The 13027-nt window shown below is 37.3% G+C and overlaps 1 protein-coding gene across 1 annotated transcript; it reads right to left on the bottom strand.

The window, feature by feature from the left end:
* On the bottom strand, positions 3505–5882 carry OR12D2 (olfactory receptor family 12 subfamily D member 2). The gene is made up of 2 exons (NM_013936.4): positions 5698–5882; positions 3505–4815 (listed from the first exon to the last, which is right to left on the bottom strand). The coding sequence occupies exon 2, from the start codon at positions 4811–4813 to the stop codon at positions 3890–3892; it is 924 nt and encodes a 307-aa protein (NP_039224.2). The 5' UTR covers positions 4814–4815; positions 5698–5882; the 3' UTR covers positions 3505–3889.

The following is a 13027-nucleotide window of genomic DNA, read 5'->3' as shown; positions in this document are numbered from 1 at the left end:
GTCCTAAGGAGATGTATGAGTGTGGTACTTATCTAATTGACTAAACCCAAATAAGAATCCTAAGAACCTAAAATATTTTAAAAGGAATATTATTGGTGGGCCAGGCACAGTGACTCAGATCTGTAATCCCAGCACTTTGGGAGGCTCATGTGGGTGGATCACATGAAATCAGGGGTTTGAGGCCAGCCTGCGCAACACGGTGGAAACCCTGTCTCTATTAAAAGTACAAAATTTAGCCGGGCATGGTGGCACATGCCTGTAATCCCAACTACTTAGGAGGCTCAGTTGAGAGAATCACTTGAACCTGGGAGGTGGAGGTTGCAGTGAGCCGAGATTGCACCGTCCCACTGTACTCCAGTCTGGGTGACAGAGTGAGATCCGTGTTAAAAAAAAAAAAAAAAAAAAAAAAAAAAGAAGAAGAAGAAGAGAGAGAATTTTATTGGTATCATCAGTTTCAATTGCATCATCTTAGACTCTAGAGGACGGAGTGAGAAAAATGTCCCCAAATGGGTTTCACAATTGCTATGTAACTGTTATGTGCCTCCCATTTTTTCTCTTTTGGAGTAACATTTTCTATTACTGTCATCTTATATCTACTTTATCATTATGTGCTGAGTGTGTGACAGGAAGATAACCTGACTTCTTCAAGTTCAAAGGTCTTCAGGTCAAAAGGAACCATTCTTGAGGAATCATACTAAATATGCCCCATTTGCACTTTGTCATGATTTGGATTTTAAAAACCTAGACTTTGAGCTGATGCTATAAAGGGATGAGATTTTAAGATTATTAGGAAGAGGAGTAAGTGTACCTTGCATATGGGAACAACATGAATTATTAGTGGTTAGATATGGGACTGTGGTAGATTAAGGATGTCCACACAATTTTTGACACTCTTTCCATTGAAGGTTACAGAAGCTCAGTTGGCCTGCGATTTCTTTGGCCAATAGAGTATGATAGAAGTTATGTTAATGCTGGTTCTTGGTTTTTGTCTTTGAGACAACTAACAATTTTTGTCTTGGTTTGCTGTCCCCCATGAAAAAGTCTGTCCCGAGGCTTCCCTGTTAAAGAAGCACATGACAGTCAACTGAGAAACTGGAGAGAGAGAAAGAGAGAGAGAGAGAGAGAGAGAGAGAGAGAGAGAGCAGATCCAGATATCACTGAGCATAGTCAACCCTTTCCTGCTGTGCCCTCCCCAATTTCTGACCCACAGAATCCTGGGATTTGATTAAATAAATTAAGCCATTTAGATTTAGGCTACTATTTGTTATGCAGCAGTAGATAACTAGAACCCATGTGTTTTCCTACAGTTCACAGCTTCCATGTAGATGGGATTATGCAATAAACTCTGAGCAACAGAAGTGATAGTCTGAGATAGTTCAGGTGGATAGTGTCTTCTCCACACAGGCATTCTCTCATCAACAAAACTGGAACTGAAGGACCAAAGAAGGTTGACTTGGAAGATAGAAGAAGTACCAGAGAGAGGTCAGATCGTTTGGGTTTGCAAAAGTGAAGGCAGAGGTTTTGAATAGTCAGCCCACCCGCTCAACTTAGCTTCCATAGTCTTGTCTATTTGTATCTCTAAATAGTTACAAATGTTGGCATACCACATCTTTTCAGAGCCAGAATCCATTTCTAAGTACTTAGAAACTAAGAAACATCATACCTATTCTTGTCTATTAGCTCCAGAAATACTTCCACAGTTATGATTTCATTGTTTTCACTTAGTATGAGTTTGGTACCAAAGGAAAAGAAAAATAAATTTTCATGAATTTTTTGTATTTCACCTGTATTTCATCATATTACATGCATTACAGTCTGTCAAAATAAGGACAGATAAAGGAAAACGAAACCAAAATAATAGAGTGTTTAAAGTCATCATCTTTCATGACCAAGGGTGGAGAGATACGAGTGGTTATAACACTCTAATGAGATACAAAGTGATTCTTGAGGTGTTTTTTGTTTGTTTGTTTGTTTTACCTAGCTCCACTTTTAATGGTATTTCATAGTAATCCTTGAAGTCTGGCCAGTTGACTTCTAAAACATCTCTGAAGATATAGGTACCAGAACTCTTAGCTGAACAATTGGTTGTTTTATCTCTTAATTAGTGGTTGCAATGTCATTCAATTTAATTACTTATTAGCCTCTCTGGACCAAGTAAAAAGCATTTTTCATTTGTATTATAAAATGTAAAAATAAAATTGTCAACTTTTAGTAAAAGTTTGTTCCCTTTTTCCACTCTTTCCTATTCTTTTTGTGTCATAAAAGAAATGAAACATTCTAGTGTGTTTCAGTAGCTCATTCTCTCTGCAGCATGTCCTCTGTGTGAGATTCATTTTCTTTAGTTAAACGGTGGGTCTTTTAGGGCACCTTTCCTTTATTTTGTGCAGGACTTTCATAAATCTAACACCTGTAGAGCTTTTTTTGATTAAAATAATAAACAACACAATTGATTAATTTTTCACATGAATAACTGTTGGTGTAGTAAGAGGAAAGTTTTAAGTATTTTATGCTGAAGTAGGGGAAAACACTTCATGTTGCCTGTGTGCCAGCTAACAATGACAAGAATTGCTGTAATCTTAGCTTTTCCTTTCTCCCAGTTGCCATCTTGCTTGGGCTTCAAATAGTCTGAAAACTTTCTATAACAATGGCAGAATTATGCAGACTTCCATGTTATGGAAAGTGTCTTTAGGATGTCATTTTTTACATAACCAGGCTGTAAAAGTAGAATATTTTCAGGGAAGCATCTACAAAATAAGTCATTGGCATTATTCATATTCAATGTAGTGTAAAATCTAAACACTTTTACATTGCAAGTGGTGATGAAATTTTTTATAACCTCTGGGGAGGGCAATTTGGCAGTATCTATCTGAATTACAATAACGATATCTCTTGACCTAACATTTCCATGTCTGGAAGTTTGTCCTACAAATAGACTTGCACATATATAGAATGACGTGTACACAAGATTATACACTGCAACATATGATTGGAAATAACATAGATGTCCAATGATAGGAGACTGATCTATCAAATATAATACATGAACAAAGTGGCATATACCATGCATGTTAAAAAAATAAAGAAGCTCTATGTTCTAATAGGGAAAGATCTCCAAGATACACATTGCCCTCAACATTGGTTTGCTCATATAACATGTATTGTTCATTGCCATTCTTTTTTAAAGAAAATATTTGTATTTGACTGTGTAGCATAAAGGATCTCTGTGAGGACAGATAACAACTGATTAAATTGATTGCATATGAAGAGTAAGTCAGTGACGGAGGGCAGAGATGGGGAGAAACATTTGACATCTTTCTATGTCTTTTGCATTTTGAATCACCATTAAAAGAACAAAAACCAACCGAACTGAAAAGAAATCATGACATACCTCTTTAAAATTTATTTAAATAATATGCAAGTTAGCATTTACTTTTCCAATTGAATAAACATAGCCCTACATGACAATCCTTAAAATAAAAAAGCATAATAATTTTATTGATCAGACTAAAATGTGTTAAACTAAAAGGATCTCACAGACAAACAGTCCTAAATATCATCTATCTATACAATACATGGGCAATATAGGCAAAATTCTACATGCAATTGCATACAAGTACATGTTAGAATACATAATAAGTCAATTACATCAACTGATATTCCAAAAAATTTTCAGCATTAGGGTTCCATGGCTAGTGTCTTGCATTTTCAAGTATTCCTCATATTACTTAGAAATGTATTGTTTACTACAACTAGATTGGACTTTTTTTTCTTTTATCCAGTTGCCTCTATTTTACACTTATAAACCATCTGAGAAGCAGTAAAATTACACATCTCTACTTTTTCATTGCTGGTTATTTATGCCTCAGTAGAGTTCTCTGGTTTATTCAAATCAAAGCCTTCTGATCACTCTACCCAAGGCCCCCTTCACTTCCTTGTTCCTCAAAGTATAGATCAGTGGGTTTAGTACAGGAGTGACCACAGTGTACATGATGGCAACAATCCGGTCCTGGTCCATGAAGCTCTCTAACGCAGGATGGATATAGGTGAAAAGAACAGGTGCATAGAAAAGAATAACTACCATGAAGTGGGAGGCACAAGTGGACAGTGCTTTACAGAGCATGCTACAAGAACGGGTCTTGAAGAAGAGATAAGTGATAATGTAGAAATAGGAGAGAAGTGTCAGAAAGAAGGGGCCCATGGCAATTGTCCCCGTGACAGTACTGAGTAGCCACTGATTAAGCTCAGTGTTCCCACAGGCCAGCTTTAGCAATGGCTTAATATCACAGAGAAAATGATGGATACGGTTGGAACCACAGAAGTTCAAGCGAGAAGTCATTACGGAGTGCAGCAGGGCATGGAAAAAACCAATGACCCAGATTGTGATGGCCATCTGGGTACAGAGCTGAGGGTTCATGATGACAGTGTAGCGAAGTGGCTTGCAGATAGCCACAGAGAGGTCAAATGCCATCACGGCGAACAACATGGACTCCGTGCTGCCCAGGGAGTGGAAGAAATGAAGCTGGCTTATGCATCCCAAGAAAGAAATTGCTTTGTGTGTAGAGAGAAAGTTCTGCAGCATTTTTGGCAGTGTCACCGTAGAGTAACAGATATCCAGGTAGGACAGGTTTCCCAGGAAGAAATACATAAGGGAATGGAGTCTAGGATCGGAGATGACAATCATCAGAACGGCTCCATTCCCAGTCACACTGATGAAGTAGATGGTGAGGAAAACCACGAAGAGAAAAGGCTGCAGTTCTTGAATGTCTGTCACTCCCAAGAGGAGAAATTCGGTGACTGAGGTTGTATTCAGCATCACTTCAGACAAAAGACAAAATAATCTATGGAACACTAATCGCAATCAGAATCCTTCCGGCTCAGAATTTTCTCACCAAGCCAAAGATACTTGGAAGGAGAGTACTGTTGTACTTCTTCCAAACCTCAGAAGTTGTATAGAAGCTTAGCTGTTGGTCTCTTCAATATTAAGGATTCATGCATATTATGGACTATGACTTAACCACTTTTTAAAATTAAGTTTATCATTAACGTATTTCTTTCTTCTGGGGATTTAGAACATGTTGCTAACTTACATCTTCTCTGGTTGAGAAGAATACATCCGTATTCTGTTACAACTTTCCTTTCCTATCCCAAGTCAGCATTAATAGGGGGCAGTTTTTAAGTGCACCACCACTTGGATATCTCTTGACCCAGGAAAATGGCTCCTGAAATTTTTTGACTTAAGAGAGGAAGATGGGAGGCTGAGGCAGGAGAATGGCGTGAACCCGGGAGGCGGAGCTTGCAGTGAGCCGAGATCCCGCCACTGCACTCCAGCCTGGGCGACAGAGCGAGACTCCGTCTCAAAAAAAAAAAAAAAAAAAAAAAAAGAGAGGAAGATAAAAATGAACTCATTATAATCACAAAGTCTTTAAAGAGATATAAAAACCTCTTTAAAATAGTAGTAATTATTTTGTTCTCATCTTAGAACGTAGATGAGGCTGGAGATGTTCTCTTACTGATCTCTTTCTAACCCACATCTCTGGCAATGTCATGGAGCTCTACTGGGAAAGGAAAAAATAATACATCAATCAAATATTAGCCTGAGGTATATTTGAAGTTTTATCACTGCTATATCAGATAATGTGCTTAGTTTCTTCTACCTAAGCCTTTAAATTTTTTCAAAGTAAATCCCAAATTACTTACTTGATGACAAATGTTATTGTTCCTTTAGTTTCCAGTTGCACTGAGACTTTTTCCTTTTTCACACCCCTGAATCTCTGAATAAGAAAAACTCTTCCAATAGACTCAACAATTCTTCCTTCATTTTACCCAATAGTGTCTTCTTCTAAAGTATCTAAGAATTTAGACCACTGAAAGTTCTGTCTTCTCTTGTGATGCATTTTCTTAAGTCTTATTTTTATTTTGCCTGAAATAAGCTCACTTTTTAGATGTGAAGAAACATTGTATCCAAGTGAATTTTCTCTTTTCTTCTAGTTTCATCAATGTGACACTGACAGTCAGGTTCTCCTCCATCAACCCAGAGGTCTGTTGGCTTCATACCAGTTCTCTCCAAAGTTGCCACACATTTCTAGCCTTTTTCATTTGTAAAATGTGTTTTCTCTATTTGCCCCTTCTTTCCATCAGATAAAATTTCCATTTTCTATGAAAGAAATGTATTCATTTTTCTTTCTTTTGCAGAATTGAAATAATAGAATTTTTTCAGTAACTGTTAAAACACATGAGGGATTATAAGTAAGATAATTATAATGAGGTTTAATATTTGACTAAATTTATACTGTTTACTGAAAGGCAGAAATATATTTTGAAGGTTTTTTCTAACATTATTTGCAAAGTACTTGGGATTATCTTCTATAGGTGCACTGACAAAAGCAGACATAATTTTGTGAAATAGCTTCCTGTTTGTTCCTTTCTTGTACAAATGTAGTGGATTAACTTTTGCATATTAGGAGAAAAGAAGCAAGAATGTGTGGGAAATCCATAGAAATGGCAGGCACTTAGAAAAGAATAAGAACCAATAGGAAATCAGAAGAAAGATGCAGACATTAGAGTGTTTCCTATAAATGGGGAATAATTCGAGGTTGAAAAATTGCTGATGAGAGAAGAAAAGGATTTGGTGTGACTAAAGTTAAAAAAAATAATGAACTAGGAAACATCTCTAGGGAGCCCATAGGATATTTGGCTTTACAGCTAGAGGAAATTTTGAGAGATTATCTAACCTTTACCACACCTCCATGAAGGACTGCCTCCAAACAATTTAAAGTAGCTTTATTTGATAGCCATGTATGTTGCATATTTTTCAAAACTTTTACCATGTCTTTTAAAAGTACAAATGATAGATAAAATATTATTTTTGGTTCTCTGACCCATAAAATAAAATTGTATCAAAAATCTATTTGGTAAAAAGAAAATTTAAAAAATAATAAATAATAAAACAACATTTTCCTAACGTTTAAAGAATGTTGTTTAGCCAACTTCTCTGTACGAAAATATTTCTTTCACTGCAATTTCAATATTTAGGGATTTCAGATTTGCTTTAGCGAATATCTAGAGAGCCAGGCATGTTGAATAGAGAAGGAGATATGGCAATAAAAGTGCGGAAAACAAAATGCTTTCATAATCTACAACTACAATGAAGACTCCATCATAAAAATAGGAAACCAGCTCTAAATCCTGGGCATCTAACTTTAATACTCGCAAGCAGTCAGGTCACTCATTAACAGATAAAAAATACGAGCAGCTTCCCAACCTGTCTCCTATTCTATTCTCTCACCCGGATTGAGAGTTCAGAATCACAGGTAAAAGAGCTTTTCAGATTTATACTCCCAGTGATTATAAATAGAAAAATATTTGAAGTGATGGTTGATGTTGGGATTGCAGCATAAATTATCTTCAAAAATCTTTTCCTCTCTGAAAATCTGCCTGCCTTCCAATGAGCTGCAGATCTCTAGACATAAAAACCTGAGAGAAACTGTCCCCTGGGTGCTGAGAAGGATTGTCGTGAGAATAAACAGGAGGTCTCTCTGCACCTGCAGCATAAGGGGATAGCCATATGGAATTTCTCTGTAGAATTCCACTTTTCTGTTGTTGTCGTTCTTCTTATCTTTTTTTCTTAATATGTTTGTTCCTTGGTTTCATAACCATGGACAAGACAGTTTTCAATAGCTTAATATATTTGCTGGATTTTTTCTTTAAAATAGTAACCCAATATTTTATTTGACCTTTCACAATACTGTTTTTTAAAATATTTATTTGTTTATTTAAAATACTTTTTCCTAGTCAAATTTCCTTTCATTTCCTATGGTAGAGGTTCAGATTCACTTTCTCTTCTTGAGGGCTCCCTTGGAAAATATTTTGGTATATAAAGTGAAAGAAAATTGGCAATAAAAATTAATAAATATGGTCACCCACATTCCATTGATCAGTACAGAAAGATGATTATCTTTAATATTCTACTGTGGTTCTATGAAAACCAAAGAAAGAGACATAAAGAGAAATAGTATTACTTTTGTACCTTCTACATCTTACTCTTCACTGTTGCTAATAATACTAAATTATTTTAAATAATTAATTTTGGGGTCCAAAAGCTCACATTTTTCTCTGTTTGGGATAAGGATTTTGGTCTTACCAATGTGTAGCATTACTTTTTGCTATTTTTTAGGTAAGAAAATTCTGTCTGAATTACACCAGGGTATCTATGCGTGACCTTCCATCAATCCAAGGATTCTACTAACAGTTGTAACTGTGATGTATTTTTTCCGTCTTTCTATTGAGTTTCCATTTTTGTTGCTTGGCAAAAGTTTATTATATATATTTATCACAATAATATCTTATTTTAATTTTTTAATTTTGTTTTTTTTTTTAAATCTTTAATTTTTTTTCTTGTTTTGAGTCAGAGTCTTGCTCTGTCATCCAGGCTGGAGTGCAGTGATGCAATCATAACTCACTGCAGCCTCTAATTCCTGGTCTCAAGCAATCCACCAATATCATCCCCCCAAAATTTTGGGATTATAGGTATGAGCCATTCCACATACAAATAATTCCTTATTTTATATACTGCTAATATATTATAAATAAATAACATTTATTGCATGCTCATTATGTATAAGTTATTGTTCTGAGTTCTTCACATATATTAGCTCATTTAATTCTCACAAAAACCCAATGTAAAAGTATTAAAATTATTCCTTTACTACAAGAAAACCAAGGCTCAAAGGATTTAAGTAAAGTTTCCTTTTCCTTGCAATGGATTGTGAAACTAGGATTCAAAATAAGGCTCTTTAGTTTTAGGGATCACTGCAATGTAATTTCCATTTTTTCAAAATGTCCCCCACTTCAATTTTATCATTTTTTATCTTGCATTGAAACTTAAAGATTATGTAACTGGTTCTGTTAATTAGATTTAGAGTTTTATATTTGTCATTTAGGACTCTAGTCTTCTAGAGGTTATATTTACATATCCTGTGAGATAATCAGCTAGTCTTGGTTCTGGTTGTCTCTATGTAGACCGACTAACCATTCCTTCTTCATCGATTTGTGAGGCCATCTTTATACTATTCCAAGTTCCCCTCAATACATGGTTTGTTTCTCCACTTACTATTTTTTCCATTGAATAAGCTGTAATTTAAGTAATATGATGTTATTGTAGGTCTTAATATCTCATAAGTTAGGAAAAATCATTACTTCTTTTTTTTCCCCAAAATACCTCCAAGTTGGCTGAGTGCAGTGGCTCACGCCTGTAATCCCGGCACTTTGGGAGGCCGAGGCAGGTGGATCACTTGAGGTCAGGAGTTCCAGACCAGCCTGGCCAGCATGGTGAAACTCCATCTCTACTAAAAATACATAAATTAGCTGGGCATGGGGGTGTACGCCTGTAATCCCAGCTACTCAGGAGGCTGAGGCAGGAGAATTGCTTGAACCTGGGAGGCAGAGATTGCCACTGTATTCCAGCCTGGGTGACAGCGTGAGACGCCATAAAACAAAACAAAACAAAACAAAACAAAACAAAACAAAACACCCTCAAAGTCTTTTGACAGCTTTTTTTCCCAAGTAATTTCAATGTTATAGAAAGTTTGCTTACGGGGAAAGGCCTAGGGCCAACTCAAAACAGGCCCCTTGAATGGAGCTGGAGAGGCTCCAACATGGCTGACTTGATACATCTGGTACTTGGCCCTTCCATGTAAAGTAACCAAAATAACCAGTCAATAATCACACGTTGAATAGATCATCTAAGAGAGAACACCGAAAGTCAGCAGAGAAGTGACCAGGAAGCACCAAAAGCAAAGGAGAAGGAAATGAGACCGCCTGTTCAACCAAGATCGGATATGAGTCTCGAGCGGCTCTCCAATGTGGGAAAAGGGAAAGGGGGAGACTCCCAGCAGCCCACATTTCACCACAGATACCTACAATTCTAGCCACAGGAGATCCCCTCAACCATCGTAGCCCCTGAGACTAACATAGGGAGCTGCCTGGAGACCACGTGAAGGCGCTACCCAAGAAAGAACCTCACACTGGGTCCCACGAACCCTAAGTCCTAACTAACTGCAGCACGGCACCATTTTGACAGCACAGATCCCAACGCACTGCATCTTACTCTGCTTCTGAGACCGAGGCAAGAGCCCTAGGGAGTAATCCCACCTCCCGTTACCCCGACCAGAGGGACAACGACACATTTTTACTTGCCCTGAGGACAAATTTCACTGCCTGCAACTGCTGCCATGATGAACTACTGTGGGGCAGAGGCATGAGCAAAGCCCATGCCTCCCCAGTTTCTTGCCTATGGTTGTTCCCAGGAAAAGCAACCCAGTCCTCCCCAGTCCATGACCACAAAACAGCCACTACCACTCCTATCTGAGCATTCCATCTGTGGCCTGGGGATCCCCCTGCCCCTGCCTACCATAGCCAGTGCCTCATACACCACCAAGGAGCCCATGGGAAGGTCTACTCAGCCTGGCTTCACCCACCCACAGAATCTGAGCACACCGTACAGGGGCCCGAGGGTCACTTAGCCCAGTCCATCACTGGTAGCTCCTCAGCACCCCTCCTGGGATCTGAGGTCAGCCCCACTCAACCTTCCCCTGGCACCACAGCTGACATCCACACTCATGTGCCTCCTGTGGATCTGGGAACTGACCTGCCCAACCTGTCACAGCCATTGCCAATATCAGCATGGACTACACGGGTCCCAGAGGGCTGTCCCACCACTGCTACTGCCATCACCCACACCACATCCACTGCCAAAGGGCTCAAGAATTCAACTTCATACCTGAACTACTGATGCCATTCCCAGAAGCCAAGCAAGCCACTTGGAAGCACAAGAACTGTCTTGCCTAAACCCGCTAACATTGGTGCCAGTGTATGCTGCCCTGGGGCCCAAGGACACACATGCTCATCCCACTGATTCTACCAATGGAAGCCGAAGACTGGCCCAACTGGCATCTCAGTTCTTAGCAAGACTTCAGCACAGCCTCCACTAACAACCATATCCTAAGCCACCAAAGAAATCACAGACACCACTGACACTGTTTACAGATGAAGAAATCATACAGAGACTGCACTATTGTACACACCCAGAATCAAAACCAGAGAACCCTACCCAAACTACACCTTAGATACATCTTCTGGAAAAAGTCCTCCCCATGAGAGCAAATTCAAAAAATTTAAAAAAGTAACTGTTATACTAGATATGCAGATATCAACATAAGGACACAATAATTCTCCAGCAACAGATCCCAATAAAAAAGAAATGTCAACAATCCCAGGCAGAGTATTCAAAATTTTGATACTAAAACAGCTCAGTGAGATACCAGACAGTATTTAAAAATTATACAAAGAAATCAGGAAAACAATTTAGGTTATGAATAAGAACTGTACCAAAGATACAGATATCAGGAAAAAAAACCCCACCTAGTTCTCTATCCCTTTTTTCTATCTTTGATTCCACTCACAAATATGCTTGCTTTTAATCATTCTCTAGGATGTTTAGTTTTTGTTTTATTTATTTTGCATTTTATTCCTCTAAGGAGCTTTCATGGCCATATTGGCAGCATAACTCTCCATTGTATGGGACTTTGAAGGGGAATAGGCCAATTTGTTGAAAACTAAATTGTCTAAGACCCAGTTTCCTAAGAGCTATTTCAGTGAGTCTCATCCTACAACTAATCTGTGTGTTAACATGACTTGTCTTTGACACTTACCCTAAAGTAACAGCGATAGTTGAAATTAAAACTTTGGAGATATTTCTAGTAAATCATAAAATTGATTTTATTGGTTGTTCATGAATTAACATAGGGCTCAGGAAATTTACCATTTCTTTATTCACAGTAAGAAAGAACATTGATCATAATAGTACAAATAATGACTTTAGTTAGATGTTTTTAATTATTTCAATGGGCTCCATACATAAAGTTGTCTCTTCCAAGAATCTATATAAACACTAATCCCTAAAAGTATGTTAACCAAATTTATCTCCACTGTTTAGTCTTCCCTGTTTGATCATAATTTGCTTAAATCTTTCCATTTCAATATCTGTAGACCTCAGTTTATAATTAATCATTTTTAGTTTTCATTATATTGTTCTAAGTGATATTACTTTTCAGATTCATTAGATGTTAGATTTCTCAAGGATAGGAGCTGTGTCTTCTCTTTCTTTTATATTATCATCACTCTTTTTTTCTTATGACTAATGAAGGGCTCTGCCAAAAATTTATTATTATTACTTAAATCAATGTAGTGATCTCATAAGCACATCAAAGAAGGAATAAACTGATACACAGGGGAAGAGAAATATAAAGAGAATAAGTCCTTGGAGAGAAAATCCCAAAGTGTTAATGCTCAAGATGCTACTGGGAAGGTTTACTGAGAAGATTTAGCCTGTTCATTTTCTGTCCATAATAAGACATGAGATTTGCTTAGATTCCATGTAAGTTGTTTTCAATAAGGGTGTTTATAATAGGTTTTGAGCAGTCAGAACTTTCTCTGATAACTTTATTCAAGGACACAATAAATACATCTGATCTATGATATTTGGATAACTCTTTTGACACAAAAATTATATTTATACTAAGATACGTGCAAAGGAATGTGCAGAGCAAATTGGCTTAGACTAAATAGAAAAATGATATTATGATAGTAGAGAAAAACTCTTGATGAAAAGAGGTTGAGATCACTGGAATGAGTGGGTTAGAGTGACGGAGGAACCTCTTTGAATATAGGCTATGAAGATTACAGGATGCAACAGGTGGGCTCATTACATAAAACATTTATGAGGGAAGCTTCAAATTTCCTGATCTATTTACTTATGCTTTTTTTGGACTTTTTTTGGTTTCAGGGCAGCAGACTCTATGATCAAGTATAGATGTATGTTATAGTTAAGTGTCTGAGTGTGTACGACTGTTTAATGGAGATAGTGGTAGTGTGTGTATATTTGTGTTACAAAGAGACGAAATAAAGGGAAAAGGAAGTGAGGGAGAAGTAAAAAAAAATAGGTGAGTAACCTTTTAGTATCTATCACAAT

The sequence above is a fragment of the Homo sapiens genome, chromosome 6 (genome assembly GCF_000001405.40).
Source record: "Homo sapiens chromosome 6, GRCh38.p14 Primary Assembly".
NCBI lineage: Eukaryota > Metazoa > Chordata > Mammalia > Primates > Hominidae > Homo > Homo sapiens.
The sequence above is the reverse complement of the archived record's forward strand: the minus strand, read 5'-3'. Positions and strand labels throughout refer to the sequence as shown.

Excerpts from the sequence above, each read along its gene's own strand:
- OR12D2 (NM_013936.4), bottom strand. The coding sequence starts at position 4,813 with ATGCTGAATACAACCTCAGTCACCGAATTTCTCCTCTTGGGAGTGACA.